The sequence below is a fragment of the Homo sapiens genome, chromosome 3 (genome assembly GCF_000001405.40).
Source record: "Homo sapiens chromosome 3, GRCh38.p14 Primary Assembly".
Taxonomy (NCBI): domain Eukaryota; kingdom Metazoa; phylum Chordata; class Mammalia; order Primates; family Hominidae; genus Homo; species Homo sapiens.
The window spans coordinates 315,931-337,479 of NC_000003.12; the positions used below are offsets into that span (position 1 = coordinate 315,931).

The window sequence follows — 21,549 nt, forward strand, 5'->3', positions numbered from 1 at the left end:
AGGAAAAGGCTGGCCTGCTGCGGATGCACTATATTTTATAGACAGGCTTGAGGAGGTGGTGTCTGATTTATGCAGGGCCCACAGATTGGTTCGATCAGGTGTGACGTTTACATAGTGTGCAGAAAAGGCTTGCCACCCTACTCTTATTACCCTAATCTTATGTGAATGGGCTTTCCAGTTGACCGGTGCCATCTTGTCTGCTCCTTACTGTACATGTGGCTGGGAAGGGAAGATGGAGCCACCATTTTTGAACATGATTGGCACAACTGCCAGGGTCTATGTCTGCAGCTCTATTTTACAGGTTGCTCTTTGTTAGAAAATAATTTGGGGGCTGCATTTCATTGAAAAGGAAAACCTTACCGAGGACTCTAGTACCCTCACTATCTGCCTAAGTAATTTCTTCTTAACTCCTATGTCAGTAAGATGTGACAGTAAGATATGTATTATGTTGGTGCAAAAGTTATTGTGGCTTTTGATGGCAAAAACCACAATAACTTTTGCACCAAGCTAAATTTTTCTTTTGAAGTGGTTGGCAGGGATGTTTTTTTTCCTAAGGATGAGCTACGATCGTAGGAATTAAAATTTAACCCAGTTTACCCAGATTCATAAAAATTAATAGATTTCTTTGTGGATCTGAGTTGATATCATTAATATAAGCTATCAGACATCAGCTTCATGTGACTTAACTTCAAAAATATTTTAGTAAGAGTATGACTGGAATGTTTATAACACAAAGAAATGATAAATGCTTCAGGTGATGGATACCCCAATTACCCTGATGTAATTATTCCACATTGTATGCCTGTATCAAAACATCTCATGTACCCTATAAATACTAGATACTCATAGAAAGTAAAAATTTTAAAAAAATTAGTTCTTGTCTTAGTGCCAGCTCCATCCTGAGTTTCAACAATTGCTATTATCTTTGAGGTCTAGCATGAGGCATTAAATGCCATTGTTTCAAGAAAGATAAATGGGAATATAATTTTATTGCTATCTTACTGTTGCAAAATGGAATTCCTAAGAAACATACCCTTTATGAATTCTGGCAATGAAACTAAGACTGACTTTCCGTTTTCAATCTGAAAGCTATTTTGGAGCTTTCATCGTCAGCTAATGGAGTCTTACTTGAACGGGGTCACATTTAAACTTCTAATAATTTTTATGTTGTAGCCTGTGAACATACAAATTTCAGGTAAATTGAAGCTAATTCCTGCAGGAGGTAAGGTCATATGTAGAATTAGTCATTATTCATATTCTGAAAAGTGATGATGTCATTATGGGAGAGAATTTCTTGGGTCAAGACCATGCATTTAAAACGATTAAAATTCAAAAAATGGGATCACCATTACTGAATAATTAGTATCTATAAGCTACTTTACTAAAATTAGAGACCAGTGAACTTACTGCCCTAAGTCAAGAGATTAATGGAAATTGAGAGTGTTCTCACTTATTTGGCTATCTAGTTATTCTTGTTCCCTATTTCAGAGGTGAGATGATGTTAAATATTAATCTGGAAATACGATCTCCTAGTAGCATAATACTTGGGAAAGTCTTGCTCCTTACAAATAAAAGGCAACTCATAAAACACATACATGAGATGCTCTTAAAGCCATCAGCATTGAAAACTAATGGAACCGAGTATTAAATAATAACTAGATTGCAAGTAAAGATTGATATATAATAAACAATGACTTTAGATGACTATTACCAAACTGTTTCAGAAAAAAAAAAAAACAGGAAAAAGAAAATTCGAAGGGGCAGGGCATTGATATTTTCCTCAAAATTTTCATATTAATAATAGCTACATGGTTTAATGTCTCCCAACTTTGTACAAATACGTAGGACTCACCTTTTGTAGTTAAGGCAGTATTTTGCTTTTTATAATGAAAGCATTTTTCCATGTTTTATTTCATTGATTAGGATAACTCATTTCATCAGAAGAGTAGTGTCAATTAACATAGTGACACATTGAACATATATGTTAAATTTACCAGTAGAAGTTAAATTACAAGTATAAGTTATTTGTCATTAGAAAATATTCTGAAGCATACATGAGTCATTTTTTCCAATTCCCATTTTAAGATGGGTCAGTTGAGGTCAGCCAGAGTAGAATAATGCCATTACTCTAATTCAGGACAAAGATTCACAACTTTTTTGGAGGTGGGAGGGTAGTATTTTCTTTTATGATTAATATAATTTTGTTCTCAAAGTAAAGCATAAACAGTGTTGCTGTTCCTTAAGACTGCTAAAACTGTGAAACAACAGCCATTAGTTACTACTTTAAATTTTACCAATCGGTACATATATACAAAAGATACAGGTCTATAATATCTTAAGATGCAATTTAAAGTGAAATAATAAAGCGGAAATACTTAGAATTTAATGTAAGTTTAAAGACTTTACTATCTCTGTGTTAGCTAACTTTTTTCACCAGTTCTAAGTGAACACATAGAGTAATTGATTTTTAGAAAACAAAACAAAATTACATACCTGAAAGACTAATTCTCACATTTTGGAGCAAATTATTGTATTATTACCTGCAAGAATACATGATAGACAATGTATAAACAATGTTTAGACATCTATTAACACAATGTTTCAGAAAAAAATTGAAATTGTAAGAGAAAGTAAAAAAAATTAAAACCTTAATTCTTATTCTATTTCTGTAAACTTTGAAATGAATAAATATTCTGTTTAAATGAGAAGCATCTTACGCCTTTGTCTTCTGCTTGAACCAAACTCACATTTGTAAATTTCAGTTAAAATGGTGGCCTTTATTCTTTTGTTCTTTATTATTTCTTTCCTCTATCTTGCTGGAACTATCCATCTTCTATTAGTGTGAAAACTTTGAAGATGAAAAGCTATTTCACCGGAAAAATCATTGATGTATTTGTGATCCTTAATAATGACTCAAATGGGAATAGATATCTAATATGAGGAACTGAGTAAAAAAGAACCACTTTTTAAATAAAATTAACTAAATGAAGTTATTGTCTTAGCCATTAACACTCATCAGTCATATACACCATGGAATACTACACAGCCATATAAAGAACAAAATTGTGTCCTTGCAGCAACATGGATGCACCTGGAGGTCATTATTCTAAGCAAATTAACTCAGGACCAGAAAACCAAATACCACATGTTCTCATTTAGAAGTGGAAGTCCAACACTGAATACACACGGACATAAAGATAAGAATAATAGAATATTATGGACATAAAGATAAGAATAATAGAATATTATGGACATAAAGATAAGAATAATAGAATAATTGTGGACTACTAGATGGGGGAGGGTAAGAAGGAGTGAGGATTGAAAAACTACCTATCGGGTGCTATGCTCATTACCTGAGTGATGGAATCATGTATACACCAAGATTCAGTGGCACTCAATTTACCTATGTAACAAACCTGCAAAGTTACCTCCTGAATCTAAAATAGAAGTTGAGAATAAAAAAGAAAAACCACTCATGTGTATAATATCATACCTTCCAAGTAAAACTTCCTCTGACTTAGGATTTTTTGGAATAGTCTGTGGTTTACAATAGAGTATATATTCGCTGTCCTTTATTTTACATACAAAGAGGAAAAACTAATTTCATTCATGCGGAGTTATGAGAGAACAGTTTCATAAGGAGGAAACATACTGCCAAACCAAAAAAAAAAAAAAAAAAAGAAGGTATTTAATTTGTTCTGTTGAAATTTTAGAGTTTGTGAACTAACATGTTATTCTGTTTGTGTTTTTAGTTTCCAGGTTAACTAAGGTCTCAGCTGTAAACCAAAAGTGAGAGGAGACATTAAGATTTTCATTCTTACCGGGTTGTCTTCTTCCTGAAGAGCAATGGAGCCGCTTTTACTTGGAAGAGGACTAATCGTATATCTAATGTTCCTCCTGTTAAAATTCTCAAAAGCAATTGAAATACCATCTTCAGGTAAAGTTAAAACATTCAGTGCCTATTAATGGAATTTCATATTTGCATTTTGATTTTTAAGTAGAATACTTATGGATTGAGGATGTGACTTTTCTACCATATTTCTATATATTCTTTAGCAATCTGTCATGAGAATTCATATCTATCTTTTTCGTTTTGTGGGTGGCTGATACATGACTGCTGTAATTATTTTGCAACCCAGGCTTTTAGTTCCTTATGCAAACTTAGAACATAACAAGAATAGTAACCTATAGATAAGCTAGTATTTTTCCATATGTCTTGGATTATCTGCAATATTACCAACAACTTCACTTTTGTATACTTAGGTTAGTTAATCAAGATTCAGAAATTACTGGCATTCAACAAATTATGTCGAAAAGGAATTGGATGAACTTTGTATTCTTTTTCAAAATGATTATATTTAAGAATGAAAACAATGAATTAGCAAAACAATAAGCCATTTTACAAGTAAAAGTATAAGATGATATGAACTCTCAAAATTTACGGCATTATATAGTGTGAATTCATATTAAGAGGTTAAACAGTAGTCTGATGGAAATATATAAATATATATTCTAACATATATTGGTAAAATGGATGCAGATTTTTAGCCATTATAAATCAGTTTGAACGAACCATGGTAATTAATAGTTAAAAAAATAGATCAGCATCAGCAGGACATGGTGACACATGACTGTAGTCCCACCTATTTAGGAGTCTGAGGCAGGAGGATTGCCTGAGCCCAGGAGTTCAAGACTATAGTGTGCAATGATCACACCTGCGAATAGACATTGCACGCCAACCTGGACAATATAGTGAGACTTTGTTTTTTTAAAAAAATAAAAACTAAAAAAATCTGCAAACAGAACATATGTAATAGTATATCAAGTCTGCCATGTATAGATCTTGCAGATTTTTCTTGTATTACATGCATATGGGTTCTAAAAGACCCACGAGAGGTTATTAAGACATTTTTATCCGTATCATTCAGGAATAATCTCTATTGCATCTTCTGTATATAATTTGGAGGGTTATTATATTAGAGGTGTTGGTTGTTTATTAGAATTTTAGCATTGCAGGTGATATTTGTGGATTTTCTAAATTCTAGAGAAATAATCTTGAGCTCATAAAATTTAATACATCTTAGAAAAGTGTTGGGACTTAACTAAAACGTTGCTTTTGAAGTGCTCAGACAGACTGAATGTCAATAGAAAGGAAACAACTCTCTGACTATCTATAATATAATGTATTTAAAAACTATTCTAAGGGCCACCTTAAATTACTTGATGTACCTATTTTATATTATGCACTTTGGAAAGAACTGAAATTGTAGTTCCATCCCCCCAGGTAGAAATCCCTTCTCTATTATTTTTAACAGATAAGTAAGCTCTGTTTTGACATTTCCATTTCTTAAGAAATTCCACTTATCTGACCTACAAATATACAGACTTAAAGTCTGCTTTACATTTGGCTGAAATCTTTCGGCCTACACAATGTATTAGATTTCTTCACTGACCAGCCTTTTTGTAGAAATTCTGGTCGGGAGTCTAAAGTACCTTCATCTTTAGTGAATTCTTTTGCTTTGAGTATGCAGTAGCAAGTTAAGAGCAAGCTTCTTGGTAATCCTGTGGAAAAATGTTAATAATTTCACATTGTCTTCCGAATAGCAACGAAGATGCCACTGAGATTACTGATTCAGATTTTTGACCATAATCTCTGGCATACACATTTATTCTTCATCATTTCTTACTTTGTCAGTGGTGAAGGATGTGAAATTTTGTATTAATTCCTGGCCCACATTTTTATTCTGGTTGTCTCAGTTACTTATGCATTTTCATGCTGTAAGGTCCTTAGACAACAATTGTTATAAAATATTAATGGCATATTTTCAGAACATCTGAATATTATTCATTTATTTCAGGGCTCTAGAGCACTCACAAATAAATGCAACTAAGGCAGATATCCAATTTGAATGTCAAGGAGTCTGGTGTCTCTGTAATTGGCTTAATTATAGAGGAAAGGATTTATAATGTAGAATATATATTCTTATAAACACCCAAAGGTTATTAGCTCCGTTCCCCAAATAATTAGTTATTGCTGAGCCTTTACAACCTTAGCAAATTTAGGAAAGAATAATGTTCTAATAAACAAGTTGTTCACAAGTTATTAGCTGATATCTAAGGGACTGTGGCCACTGTGTATCATCCCTCACCGTTTATAACTGCAATAAAATTTAAATAATATGAATTTGCAATAAGCTCAAGTCCTGCTCTACACAGAAATAGTAGTAGTCAGAAACAAAGTAAATGTGAATGAAAATACAGACATTTTGCATGTTGGTTTATGAATATCCAGTAGATAAACACTGAACTTGAGCTAATATCCATAACCTGGTAAAACTCACTTATCAGATTTATCGGGCAATAATGAAAAATTAAAAAAATAGAATTAATAGAAAAAAATTAGAGTTTGGAAAGGCATTTAGTTTTTATTCTACTCTGGCTGTCAATGCTCAAAATGTGGTTTCCAGAATTCTTGGGGTCCCAGGGACACATCCAGATGGTCTGTGAGATTAAACTGTTTTTATCATAAACCTAAGACGCCATTTTTTCATTTTCACTGCGTTGTCATTTGCTCTGATGATACAAAAGTAATGAGGGCTGGGCGTGGTGTCTCATGCCTGTAATTGCGGCACTTTGGGAGGCTTGAGGTCAGGAGTTCAAGACCAGCCTGGCAAATGTAATGAGACCTCATCTCTAAATTATATATATATATAAAATATATATATATATATATATATATAATTATATATATATATATAAAACGAATAGCTGGGTGTGGTGGCTTATACCTGTAGTCCTAGCTACTTGGGAGGCTGAGGCAGTAGGATCATTTGAGCCCAGGAGGTTGAGGCTGCAGTGAGCCATGATCATGCCACTACATTCCAGCCTGGCACTGGCATCAAATTTACTGGTAGTCAGGTGATATTTAATGTCCATATACTCAGAGTAAAAAACTCTCAAAACAAAGCAAAACAAAAACAGTTTTGCTTATGATTATAATTGTTGAAGCACTTAAAAATTATTAATGTTATTAATTATCTACCTTGGAATACATACTTTCTAACATTCTAGTGAACTGGGAAGTAGATATAAAATAATTCTGCTATGCGTCAAAGTATTATGACAATCTCTATTTCTTAATTGCATCATTGCTTGAGTCCTGAGCTGGACATCATCTTTACTTTAAAGTTATGACTGACAAATTATGGTTGTTCAGATAGATATAGGTCAGATATTTTCCTGAAAGTGAACCAAGTGAGCCCATTCATTTCAAGATAAACAACTGACCATATATAAGGTCATTGATTAAATGTGAGTGTTCAAGAAAACATTAGAATTGTGGAGGACATGTATTGTCCACTGTAAGCTTGAGAGCTTCCCGATACTTAATACTGCTGATTAGATCAGTGGCAATTCTAACAAGTGTCAATTTTTGATATTCTATAATGAAATGCATCAATGTTTGGAAGACACAAAATTCAGTGAGCGGGTATTTTTTCCAAATGAAAGCTCCATGATGTTACAAAATCATTTGTAGATTAAAAAAAGTAAAATGGTTTAATGGTACACAGTATGAAAAGTTGATTGATAGGGTTTAGATTTCACATTTCAATGAATGTTTAAAAAACTACACTTGTATCTACAATCATCAGAAAGGACTCTAAAATTTCCCATCATTTTTTAACTACGTTATCTGTGTACGGCTGGATTTTCTTTATATCTTTGAACAAATCAACCCTATTTCAACAGATGAAATGCAGAAGCAGATAAAAGAATCCATCTGCCTTCTCAAGAAATTGCAGAGATGGCCTTTAGTTCTAGCCACTCGAAAGGCTGAGGCGGGAGGATTACTTGAGCTTGGGATTTCTAGGCTGCAGTGAGCAATGATCCTGCCACTGCACTGCAGCCTGCATGAGTGAGCAAGACCCTGACTCAAAGAATTAAGAAAAAAGCAATTACAGAGATTTGCAATCATGTAAAGTAATGCCCTTCTTCTCATAATATTTAAAGGTTTTCATAAAATATGTGATTTACTTTAACATTGAATTATTTTAAATAAATTCATAAGTAAACATTTTGAAAGACATTTTGAAAGACTTTTTCAGTTTTTATTCCTGTTATAGTAAATATTGTTAGCTATACCCCACATGAACAAATGCTCTTTGAGATGTCTTGTAATTTGTAAGACTGCAAAAGAGTCCTGAGACCAACACGTTGAGAACAATTTATCTAGGCTAAATCCTTAATATTACAAATGAGAAAACAGAGAGTGGTTCAGGGCCTGGTCCAATGTCACAGGTTTTAGGGCCTCATTTGCAACTCTACTGTGGAATAGTACTTATTTAAGTTAGGCTCTGTGCCTGTCTCCAAATTGCTTTTCTCATACTTTATTTGCCAAAGTCAGGTCCCTGCTGCGAAACAGTTTTCATTTCCTTGTGAATCAACCCTGTCTTTTTATTAGAGATTCTAAGAACTGTACTAAAACTGGGATGTCTCCTTTTGAAAAATATTGAGTGCTCATCAGCAGTAGATCTTTACACACTTCATGATCTATGTTTTATTTCAAAGCTTAATCCAAGTTGTATTTCCAGCATTAGTAAATTTATTTTATAGTTGTAATTCTCAGAAATGTAATCTCGCTGCTCTACTAGGTGAGAGGCAAAATCACTTCCTACTTTATTTATTTATTTATTTATTTATTTATTTATTTATTTATTTTTACTTTTATGAAAGAGTCTCACTCTGTCACCCAGGCTCAAGCGCAGTGGCTTGATCACACCTCACAACAGCTTCAACCTCCTGGTCTCAAAATTAATCCAGTTAATTTTTACATTTTTTTGTAGGGATAAGAGTCTCCCTATGTTACCCAGGTTGTTCTTGAACTCCTGGGCTTAAGTGACCTTCCCACCTCAGCCACCCAAAGTGTTGGGATTACAGGTGTGAGGCACCAAGTGTGGCCCACTCCCTACTTTTTAAAATTGTGTTTGTCTTGTAGATTACTTATCAAACACTAACAGAGTTTGTCACAAGAGGAGGGGATATTTGAATATGAAGAATCTATTAATGCCATTATGCATCAGTTATTATTATATAATAATGGTTATTAGTAAGTTAAATTCTCTAAGGAAACAGAACAAAACTTCCAATAGATAAGTGAGAAAAGGTTATAAAATGAAAACATAAATGAGGAATAACAAACACTAAACAAGCCCATGAAAGAACATTTATTACCCAAAAAAAAAAAGAAAATTAAAATAAAGGGAATAAGGAGTTTATATTTTCCTTTGTAATAAATGCTAAACTATTTTATTATTTTGAAATGTTAGCATTCACTGGTGGCAAAAATATAGAGAACCACTCTATTTTTGTTATTTGTGTATATATTCTGTGGTGAAATGATATTTACAATTTACCCAGAGTAATTACCACTTGTGTCCATGCCTGGAAATTTATCATAAATCAGTAATTCAAAAAAGGAAAAATCTATTTACTCAAAATTCCTATTGAAATAGTTTACCTGGAAAGAAAAAAAATGGATAATAATCTAATGACCAGTAATAGAATTATTAAAAATTATAGCATATCAGTGGGAAGAAATAATGTAAAAGCAGTACATTAATTATAATGTGTTTATAGAAACACGGAAGATTACAAACAGAACTTTCAAAGTGACTGAACTAAGTAAAAATGCATATGCATGCTAACATAGATTGAATGCCAATAATTTTAATAATATATATTTTTAAATTGTGATGACATAGCAACTTTTCTTCTGCTATAAAAATCATTAAATTATTCTGGGTTTAAATAAAATGAACATATATTAAAACATGAAATGATGGCAGTGAAGTGTATTCCTTAGAAGTAAGTACATGTTGCAAAGAGAGAGTGAGATTTATTCTGATTTTCACTTTTGTATCATCCTTTCACTTATCAGTATACAAAAGAGGTTTAAAGTGTTTTCGCTATAGATTAACCTTGCCTGCTGTTTGAATAGTGTGTTTTTAAGTACATATTTTAATATTTAGTTCAACAGGTTCCAACAATCATAAAACAGTCAAAAGTCCAAGTTGCCTTTCCCTTCGATGAGTATTTTCAAATTGAATGTGAAGCTAAAGGAAATCCAGAACCAACGTGAGTATTGTTTCAAACGAAGTGGTTCTTTAAATGCGTGCTGTTCTTTATGCTGCTCTTTACTCTTACCATCACAAGCCTGTTGGACTATGAATCCACGCATGATTAAAGCTAAGGGTTTACAAAAAATCATATCCATGCAAACAAAAAAAAAATTTGGTTATTTCACATATGTTTTTCTGCCACTTGAATTTATTTTGACCATAAACTAAGGGCTGTTATTAAAATACTTAGAGTAGTCTTTGGTACAGCAGAAATACTCCACAATCCCTTAGTCTACAAATAAATAAGGTAGCTGAAAACTAGAAGATCCTTTATTCTACTTAGTAAAATGTAGCATTTATTAAGTCAAAGTTTGTAAATACCATTCTATACATATTTATAATTGTGCGTCTTTAAATTTAAACATCTTATTTTGTGGATAGGTTGTTACTTGATTTTTTTTAAGTTGTCATAGAAATATTGTCATCTCAGGTGGCAGAGTACTATTGCATGATATACTACTATCTAGTATTATTTTATTTTAGAATTAAATAATTGTTATTCTAGGTGACCATAATCACTGATGAGCTTTTTCAAAATACCTTCTATGTTTGGGGAGGAAGAAAAAAATGTGGATGTATTGGAAGTGAGAAGGGAGAGGCTGTGGGAAGAATTCCCAATATTAAAACTCTACGTGATTCTAAAATGGAAAGCAAAGCTACATACTTTTATTATTCTGCATGATTATCTTATATTCATTAAGAATATCCATATTTAATGAAAATTGATGATTTTCAATTGTATCATGACTATTATTATTGCCTGATGGGTTGATATTTAATAATCATTAGTGACCCATTAACATGCTAAATTATAATTATTTCTATGTTTAACCAAATGGAATATATTCAATCAAAATATGTAAGTATGGATAGAATTACAATGGAATTAAGGATAATTTATTCAATCAATATGGATATATTGATCAATATCATGATATATTAATATTAATTAGCTGAATTATTATGTCAAAAGGTAATACCATACACTTGTCAACAGTGAAATATAAGACACACAGAGAGAAGTAAAATAAGTCAGGAGGGTGGCTGGGTAGGCCTACTCCTAATGAGAATACATGTCCATTGAAGGTTTGTTATTCCTGTTGGAAGAATAATCACATAGATTAGTGTAAGAATATGGCGTCCTGAAATATACCCAAATTTGCATGGGTAATTCCAATATACAATGCTGAATACAATCTAATTGGGAAGTCATTGTTTGTCTATCAGACTGATAAAGATTTAAAGAGACTTCTTAATGTCATTGTTCATAGAACTGACACTCTAGCATACTGGGGTGGGAATTTAACTGTGTACATTTTTTTTCTAGAATATAATTTTGCAACATTTATCAAATACTATAAAAAGTTTTTAATTATTGGTTTATTAATCTTATTTCTAAGGAACTGGCATATTGAAATATTTGGACAAGTACCAAAGAATAAATATATAGGGTTGTTTCTCACAATATTGTTCATAAAAGGAAAAACATTGAAATGGTTAAAAGTAATTAAATTAGTAACCATATGACAGAAGATAATGTAGCTATAAAAATTGTCTTTAGTATCATTATAATAATGGAAAAATTCAGTTGGCCAAATTATATATTCAGTGTGGTCTCAAATATGTGACAAAATTCTAAAAATACTAATAGGAAATATTAGCAAGTGTAATAATACTGGGCTTATCTGTTTTGGGATTTTGAGTGAGTTCCTTACACACACAAATACATGAACAGAAATTATATATGTTTCTTGTAGTCTCCAGAATATTAATAATAATCTTGTATTACCTTTCTAATTAAAAATAAATAAATAATTTTAATTTAAAAAAGCAAAAGCTAATTTCAATCTTAATCCTCTCATTTATCAAGCTGTTTTATGGACAGTAATATTTCTCAGATTCTTCTGAGACCCTTATTTATATCCTGTTATATTCCATTAAGTATATACTTTTTATCATAAAATGTCTTGGTTTTGTCAATTTTATGCAATTGTTAATAAGTACTCTAAACATATGTCATTATTTTTCAGGATTATTAAGTTCAGTTTTATGTTTTAGATTTTCGTGGACTAAGGATGGCAACCCTTTTTATTTCACTGACCATCGGATAATTCCATCGAACAATTCAGGAACATTCAGGATCCCAAACGAGGGGCACATATCTCACTTTCAAGGGAAATACCGCTGCTTTGCTTCAAATAAACTGGGAATCGCTATGTCAGAAGAAATAGAATTTATAGTTCCAAGTAAGTACTATAACGGGAATTTCATTTTACAAGTGTTTTAGTGAAGTGTTAAATAGGAGTTAGATTGGGTTCCAATGAAATAAAGCAGTTATTAACTAAATCAACTTATATGTGTCTTGTATTTTATTTATAAGGAAAAATTTCCTCCAGGTCTTGATACTTAAAATCGGATGACCTTAGAAAACAACATAATTTGACTCTGTTTCAGTAACCTTATATCTAACATGGAAAAATATAATATCTGCTTTGCCTTATAAGATGAGAATTAAACATATTATTAGTTAAACTTGGCTAAATTCTATGCAGTAATAGATAACCCCAAAACCTCTATGTAAACATAAAGTTATTCCCCGATAAAGCAATTTACTGTGGGCCTGGCAACTCTTTCATGCAGCCTTCTTGCTGATCACAGCTAATGGAGACATCGTCATTCTGTGGTTGCCTCTTGTGAAACATGCCATTTTGGTCAAAGAGTCTGGGACGAAACATGAAAAATTGTACACTGGCTCTTAAATGCTTCTGACAAGAAGTTATGCAGGCAACTCCTACTCATGTTTTGTTAGGTGGGGCAAAGCAAGTTGCATAGTCCCATCTAACATCAATAGTATGATGCTCATTAGGAAAGGAGAAACAGCTATTGGTAATGTTAACCGTAAATAAAATTTGTGTAAAACTGCAAGACACTTTGTTGTTAGAGGTGTATTTATCAGTAATCGTCCCCTGAAGTAGCGTACTTTATTCATAGCTTATTTGCCCTATGTGCATGGGATATCCATGACCACCTTTTATATTTTATCACGTTTTCCCCCTGTTCTTAATATATCCACCATTACACAATTTTAGCCAAAGCCTTTATAGAGTAAATTGGTAAGTATAAAACTGTCAGCCAGCTTCTATTCGGTAATTTCTTCTTTTAGAGTCCTAGATATGAAAGTATTTCAAAGAAAGTCCTAGGACTTGCAAAATATGAACACTTGATTCTGGGGGTGCAGAATGGCCACAAACTTCAGAAAAACAAATGATGAATCTTTAACCCAAAAGTTCAGAGAGGGCATTGTATTTAAATTGTCCTAAAGTCCTTATATAATTCTAGAGGAAGGAATATAGGTCAAATTTAGACTCGGAAGTAAGGTGTGCATCTTAAAATTTATAAGTATGTACACTAAAATTATAAGAAAATAGTATTATCACACAATGTGGTTGATGCAGGGAAGAAAAAATAAAGGAGAGAAAAAAAGTAAGACAAGCAGAAAGAAAAAGAGATAGAAATAAATTCAAATATATCACAAATGAAAGACAAAAGTAAATAGAATAAATGCTCTGAGTTAAAAAAAAGCTATAAACTTTTTACAACACATCTATCTAAACCTTAAGGATACAGAATTGTTGAAATGAAAAAGACAGAAAAGATATCCCAGACAAATGCTTTCCAAATGAAGGTAGGTATGACCATATTAATGTCAGTCATAACAGACTTTATTTGTAAAAGCCTTCATGGAAATTAATTTACTAGACATATATAATGTTAAAATACCTGAAGCAAAAATAGAACTACAAAGAGAAATAGACAAATTCACCATAATAATGAGATATTAACATATCTTTTTCATTATTTGCTCACTCAAGCAGAGAAAAACATCAGTGAGCATATAGAAGATTTAAAGAATACAATCACAAGCTCCATCTAATGAAAACACATAGAATATTGTAACTAACACGGCAAAATGAGTTTTTTCATACACATGGGGTAAAAGGTTATATTTGATGATATATTGGGCTATGAGGAAAATATCAAAATGTAATTAAGTTAGAAATCAATAATAAATAGAAAACTTAAAAAACTTATATCTTTGAAAACTAAGAAATACATTTCTAAGTGAGTCTTAGGTCAAGTACCAAATGGTAAGGAAAATAGAATATATTTTGAAGTGATGACAGTGAAAACTCTACATAACAAAACATGTTGAATGCAGTGAAAGCATTATTTAGAGGGATCTTTATCATTTTAAAGACATATTAGAAAAACATAAAGGATGAAAATTAATGATCTTAGCTTATTAGGTAACATAATTTTAGGATAAAAATGAATGAGCTAATTTAAGGCAACAGAATAAACTGGAGTGAAGGGAGAAAATAGTATAAAAGCAGAAAATAAATTCAACAATGTGGTATGTAATCTTTGTAGTGAAAGTATCCATATTTATTAAAAAAAGAAAAAATCTAGACAAATAGAAAATAAGTAAACTATTTCTATTTATTGGAAGAATCTATACACTTAAAATGCTCATTCTCAATGGGTTGATATATAGAAGAATTGAAATCAGAACGCCTATAGTTTAGTTTTTGTTTCTGTTTGTGAAATGTGACCAGCTGGTTCAAAAATATCTTTGAGGAACAAAGGGCAAACTTCAGTAGAAATTATTAAAGAATAACAAGTCATAGGGGATTCTTGTTTTCAGAAATCAAGATTCAGCTTAATTCAGGAATTAAGCCATTATGGTTCTGTGCAGGGTTACACAAATCAGAATAGCATAGTAAACCCAGAAACAGACCATCACATGTGTAAAAATAGTTGAGGGAATTGGCATGTTAGCATGGATCTCTCTCTCTCTCTCTCCCCCACTCTCTTTACTTTGAACTAAACATTGTGGAACAATTGATAATTCACACAGAGAAACATTTATATGGACTTCCACCTCATATCATATAAAAATCATCTCAGAGTGGATAAAAGGCTGAACAGTGAAAGGAAAAAATGTTTTAAAAAGTGAGACTATTTGAACAATACGTTTATCACCAGGGTCATTAATACAGAGAAAGATTTCTTTTCCTTTCTTTTCTTCCTTTCTGGCTTTTTTGTTTGTTTGTTTGTTTGTTTGTTTGTTTTTGACAGGAACTCACTCTCTCCAGGTCAGGCTGGAGTGCAGTGGTGCAGTCATGGCTTCATGGCTCACTGCAGTCTTGAACTCCTGGGTTCAAGTGATCCTCCCATCTCAGCCTTCTGAGTAACTAGGACTACAGGCGAGTGCTACCGTGCCTGGCCAATTTTTATTTTTATTTTTATTTTTGTAGAGATGGGGTCTCACTATGTTGCCCCGGGTGGTCTTGACCTCCCAGCCTCGAGCAATCTTCCTGCCTCAGTGTCCCAAAGTGCTGGGATTACAGGCATGAGCCACCATGCCCAGTGTGGGATGATTTCTTTAGTCATATTAAAGCCTCATGAAGGAAATCATCAAGAATACATTCTCCTACATTTGATTTTAGATCCTTTTTTTATTGAAAGACTCTAGGAAGAAAGTACAAACAAAAATAAGCCACAACTCAGATAAAAATTATTGATAATGCATATAACTAAAAATGGTATGTATTCATAAATAATTTTACAAATCTTTATAAAAAAGGAAAAATGACAAAGTGGCAACATATATAAACTTGAACCTCAGACTGGAGGGCCAATAAAAATGTGAAAATGTGTTCAACCTCTTTAGTTACCAGAAACAGACCTATTGTAACCCTAGTGATAAAAGCATTTGATCCTACCCAATTGGGAAATATCAGAAAATCCAAAAGTAAAAATTTTAGATTGCAATATACATCCAACAGAATACGTATCCACTACTGATGACAGTCCAGTTTACTGCGTGATCTTTGGAAAACATTTTCTAATCCCCTCCTTCGTTGAAGATGCTCTTACTTATGACCAAACAATTCCGTTCCCTAGCTCATGTGCATGTGCCTCTTGTCCATACATACCAGGAAGATTTGTGGTCACATTGTTTATATTTAAAAATATGCTGGAAAAAATACAGCAGTCCACTCAAAGTAGAATGGATCAATGCATTGTGCTCTATTCATACCAAAAATACTATTCAATAGTAAATAAAACGTCAAGAATATGTTGAGCAATAAAAGTAAATCTTGGAGAAAGTTTGAAATATGTAAAACTGACTACAATTTTGATTGGTATAATTTTATTGTTAAATTATAATGAAAAATAAGAGAATGATAAAAACAATATTCATGGCAGTAATTACCTGTAATGGAAGTAAAAATTGGAAAATGGAAGTGGGGGTTGAGATCAGCACCTGACAAAAAGGTGATGACGATATTCCTATTTTGTAAAATGGGTAGTAAGTGAATGGATTTCCATTGTGTTTCTTTCTTTCTTTGTGTTTTTTTTACATTTATTCTATAAACAATTGTTTTATATTCTTAAAATGAGTAAGTGTGAAGCATCCCGTTTGTCTCAAGTGGACATTTCTGAGTTACTGAGATATTTTAGAATCAGACCAGTGACATGTCAACCTGAAAATTGTTCTCAGGAGTTTGGATTTGAATTGACTTTCAGTAGGAAATGTCCATGAATTCTGGATTAGAAAGTATTGCTATGAAAATTGTGGTTGATCATCGTTAAACTGTATATTACATTTATATACTTCACTGAAATAAGTTAAGACCAGAGAAAAGGACAGATAAAATATCTTTTGTAGGAGGCAAGTCATGAGGATGATTCCTAACCTAAATTCTAGGGGTTGCTATGGAGACACAAAGGAAAAGGCAGCAGCTAGATCTATTGCAAAGAAAGGAGCGGCAGAATTTGGTTTAAGATTCTGCAATTAAAGGATTTCAGTTTTTTTTTCTGTCATTATCTAGGCAGACCAAGTGAAGACATGAACAATATAAGGATAATTCTGACCAGAATATGATATGAGAGTATTGTATTAAGAGCTGGGAGTTGGATCTGAGCTACGTTGTTGGATAATTGCTCTATTTTTTTTATTTTTTTTTTTTGCTGCTGCTGCAGAAAAGAGCAAAATAAATTAGGTTTCTTATGCATCATTTCCAGCCTCTCCTGAAATTACTTCATCATCTGACAGCTTTCTGCAACCATCTATATATTGAATAGTAACCCAACCCAATACTTAGGAGTTTATAAATCAGAGACAATTTAAAGCTTCCTACAATCTTTAATCGATTCTTCTCTTAAACTGTAGAGAATTGGTTCTTCTCAAAGATTGATAGAAACTTTGTGATTCAAATGTTACAGTTTCTACTTCTCAATCTCCTGTTAACAAACAGAAACCTTTGTATACAATGTCCAGTTTTCTATTTTCAACAACATTGCAGTTAAGTTTCCTAGGGAAAGAGTGAAAGAAACAACAACAACAAGAACCAAACAAACAGAATGTACCATTTTTATATACACGAAAAACTATTTAACTAAATGTATTATCCAAGACATGGCACAGGGATTTTGTCAGTGAGTTATTCAACAATCTTCCTGAAACTCCCATAATACACCAGCCACTTTCTAGTAATTTGGGATTTAACAGTGAATAAAAACAAAGACTGTCCTCCAGAAATATACATCCTGTGCATGTATATGGTGATTGGGTCTGGAAAGGAAGGGAGCTACTCTCTTGCCTTCATTATCCAACTATCAGTAAGGTTAAAATGATAATATAAATAATCCTAATTTGACTGTTGAATACTACTCACACTTCAGTGCACAGATTAGATTTCTCCACTTAGCATTCCTGGCCTATTCCAGCCTAGATAATTTTTTTCCTTTTTCTGAGTTTTTAAACAACTTGTTTGTTTGTTTGTTTGTTTTTGTTTTGAGACAGGATCTTGCTCTGTTGCCCAGGCTAGAGTGCAGTGGTACAAACATGGCTCACTGCAGCCTCATCCTCCTGGGCTCTAGCAATCCTTCCACCTAAACCTACCCAGTAGCTGGGACTACAGGCATGTACCACCATGCCCACCTATAAACATCTTTTTTGAAGTATAATTTACATATCATAAATTTTACTTGTTTTAAGTGTATAATTACTAGTTTTTATACATTATTTATTTATTTATCTTAGAGATGGGGTTTTGCTATGTTGCCCACACTGGTCTTAAACTCCTGGGCTCAGGTGATCCTCCTGCTTCAGCTTCCTGAATAGCTGGGATTATTGGCACATGACACTATGCCCCACCAATGACTTTTTTAGTAATTTTTTTAGTGAAGTATCATTATAATGTAGTATTAAAACATTTCCATCACCACAAAAAGATTTCTTGTGCCCATTTGCAGTCACTCTCTGTTCCCATCTCCAGGCCTTAGGCAACCACCAATTAATTTTCTGCCTCCTTAAATGTACTTTTCTGGACATTTCATATAATTGGAATCATGTATATGGTCTTTTTCATATGTCTTCTTTCACTTAGCATGTTTTGGAGGTTCATCCATGTAGTAGCATATATCAGTAGTTTATTTCTCTATATTGCTGAAGAGTATTTCACTGCATGGATATCATTTCCTGTTAATCCATCCACCAGTTGATGAACATTTGAATTATTTCCACTTTTGGCTATTATAAATAGTGATACTGCAAATTCTCTGGGGTTATTAAAGCATTTAGTTGTGTACTGTTAGGGACAGTCTATCAATTGTCATATGTATTAATTAGGATCCTTAAGAATGAGAAAAAATATCAGACAGACTGTCATATCCTTCCCGTTCTGCATTGCCTTGTAGATGTCACAAGAATGTGTATTATATTTATTTCATTGATTTATTGGTTGATAGGCTGAAAAATAAAAGAATGAATAAAAGTAACACTGCAATTTGCACATGCTATTAAAATAGTCTACGAAATGTCTGACAAAGATGAAATTTTCTATATAATAATTTAATGAAAACTAATTAGAAATATTCATGCACTAGGTTTCTACATTTGTGTTAACATACTTCCTCAGATTCCTCAGGACAATTTCCTTAAGATAAACCCTGGCTTTTTACCACCCTGATTTTGGAGGGGGAGTGTAGGAAACCTGGATGTTGTAGCCTGTGCTAAATTCTCCTAAGTGCAAATCAACAAAAACAGATCAATTTGTTCAATTAAGGGTGCAACTTTGAATTCTAAAGCTTTAATTAAGTTCGAGGATTTTACTCTGATTCACCAAAGTATGTGAATGCCTGTAATGAAATGGGCTGAACTGGGTGTCCTTCCTTAGCATGAATTCATTATGAGCTCATGGACTGAAAGCCAGTGTTATTTCTCTGTAGTCCTAAGTGGATTAATGGGATGTTCTGCAGGAAATGGGAATCAATTAAATCTCTTTACCAAAGGAAACCGGAGTTAGAGGTGATAAAGTATGTGCACTCAGTAGCATGCAGTTGTGACAATGATGGCAGACTGTGAGCAATTCGCCAAGCATATTTAAGTGAAATGTACGGCCCTGGAAAGCTCACCAGGCCAGTCCTGTAAACGGAGTGCCAAGTCAAAATAGATAAAGCTTTTTGGTATAGGAAGATTCGTCCAATGATGGAAAAAGGGAAAATAATTCAATAAACACATCATATGTTCTACATGAAATGAACAAATGAACAGGATTTTCTTCCTTCTGTCCTTCTACCTCCTCTGAAAATGTTAATTCAAATAATTGCACAAAGTCACAGAAGTTGTTGAGATGCAGGCTATGGAGAAAATCAGGAGCAGCAGCAGAAGAAAACTCCCTGTCCCTTTGGCCTACCTTGTCTCTGTGCGTTTGGCTGTACCATGCAAAGTGAAAATATTTGAGGAGTAGCCAAGATGTATTGAATAATTTTTAAGTGCTTGCTCCTATTTTAATCGATTCATGTGAAATATTTAAATTTCAACATAAATCAAATGAGTTAGGTGTTATTACATTTCCCACTTATGAATGACGACACTGAAACATATTAAGTAGCAGATTCAAAGATCGCATAGGAAGAGAAGCCAGGACGCAGGCCCAAGCAGCTGACTTCAGTGTTTATGGATAATCTGATGCTACAGTGTTGTCTGTACTTTGAGACTCAGGTAACACATGCTACAGATGAGCAAAAAGGCATTGTACTTCTTTGTTGAAAATACCTTGATACTAGATTACAGTATCATCTAGAAATAGGAAAATATAAGGAAACCTTCTATTTTGTTCCTAGAGTGCCGGAGAATCTGTAGTGTTGCATAACATGGTAGCGGTTAAGATGCCAGTGTTTTTTGGTTTTTGTTTTTTTCATCACAGTGGTTAGTTAGCATGAATTGTATTTAGTTAAATTTCCCTGATGGCATTTCACTACTACTCTTCACTATTAAACATGTTGGCATGATGGGATTACACAGCTTAGGTTTTATTATATCTCTACCCTTAAGAAGCTTCTACCCTGGTGAGGTGTTTGAGGAGCCTAGAGAGATGAATTCAAAGGATTCTAAGACACCAAAGGAAAACAAAATGAGATACAGAAAAAGGTAAAGATATTGGTCTGAATCTTTGTAACCAGTTAGTTTTCTAGTGCCTGGGCTAGAACCTAGTTTATGCTGTAGGATATCCTATAGATATAAATTCTGTTTTCAGAAGTCTTCTTTATTTCAGGAATGAAGATGCTATTTTTCTGTATATTATGTTGAAATAATTGGGATGATGAGTTTTCAAAACTCATTGACAGCATCTGAAGTCATAGAGCTCCTGCAAATTTTGTATCTGCAGGTTGGTTGTGCCTTGATAGTTGTGGTAATAAGACTCCTGTGCAGCTAGCTTGTCTGTAGGGAAGTGTTTCCATGATGGATTTCAACTGGGGAAGTTTTCAAAAACCTAGATGTGAATATATTTGAATGTCACTTATACCCTTGGTGTTAGTTGTTGCTAGAAATCTGTCTATGACACTGAATAATAAATGTGAAAGCCTAATGGAGAAGAGTGAAAAGATAGATGCTGTGATATGCTTGCTTTGCTGATGCAAATGGATTAATAGTGGCATTAGATAGAAAGGAAATTGATCTCATCTAGACTTGGTTATAATGGGATTTCCAAACATTCTTTTGTTTTTGTTTTTTTTTTTTTTTTTGAGACGGGGTCTTGCTCTGTCGCCCAGGCTGGAGGGCAGTGGCACAATCTCTGCTCACTGCAAGCTCCGCCTCCCGGGTTCCCGCCATTCTCCTGCCTCAGCCTCCCGAGTAGCTGGGACCACAGGCGCCCGCCACCACGCCCGGCTAATTTTTTTATATATATTTTTTAAATTATACTTTAAGTTCTAGGGTACATGTGCACAATGTGCAGGTTAGTTACATATGTATACGTGTGCCATGCTGGTGTGCTGCACCCATTAACTCATCATT

At 33.1% G+C, this 21,549-nt stretch overlaps 1 protein-coding gene across 18 annotated transcripts in view; it reads left to right on the forward strand.

The window, feature by feature from the left end:
• Positions 1-21,549, forward strand: part of CHL1 (cell adhesion molecule L1 like) — a 212,655-nt gene that overhangs the window by 119,168 nt on the left and 71,938 nt on the right. For all 18 annotated transcript variants that reach the window (XM_017005566.2, NM_006614.4, XM_017005572.2 and 15 more), the window contains 3 exons: positions 3,753-3,937; positions 10,029-10,134; positions 12,237-12,424. In XM_017005566.2, the coding sequence (XP_016861055.1) occupies positions 3,847-3,937; positions 10,029-10,134; positions 12,237-12,424 (385 nt within the window). In that variant the 5' untranslated portion in view covers positions 3,753-3,846. Of the gene's footprint in view, positions 1-3,752; positions 3,938-10,028; positions 10,135-12,236; positions 12,425-21,549 lie in introns of those variants that run through there.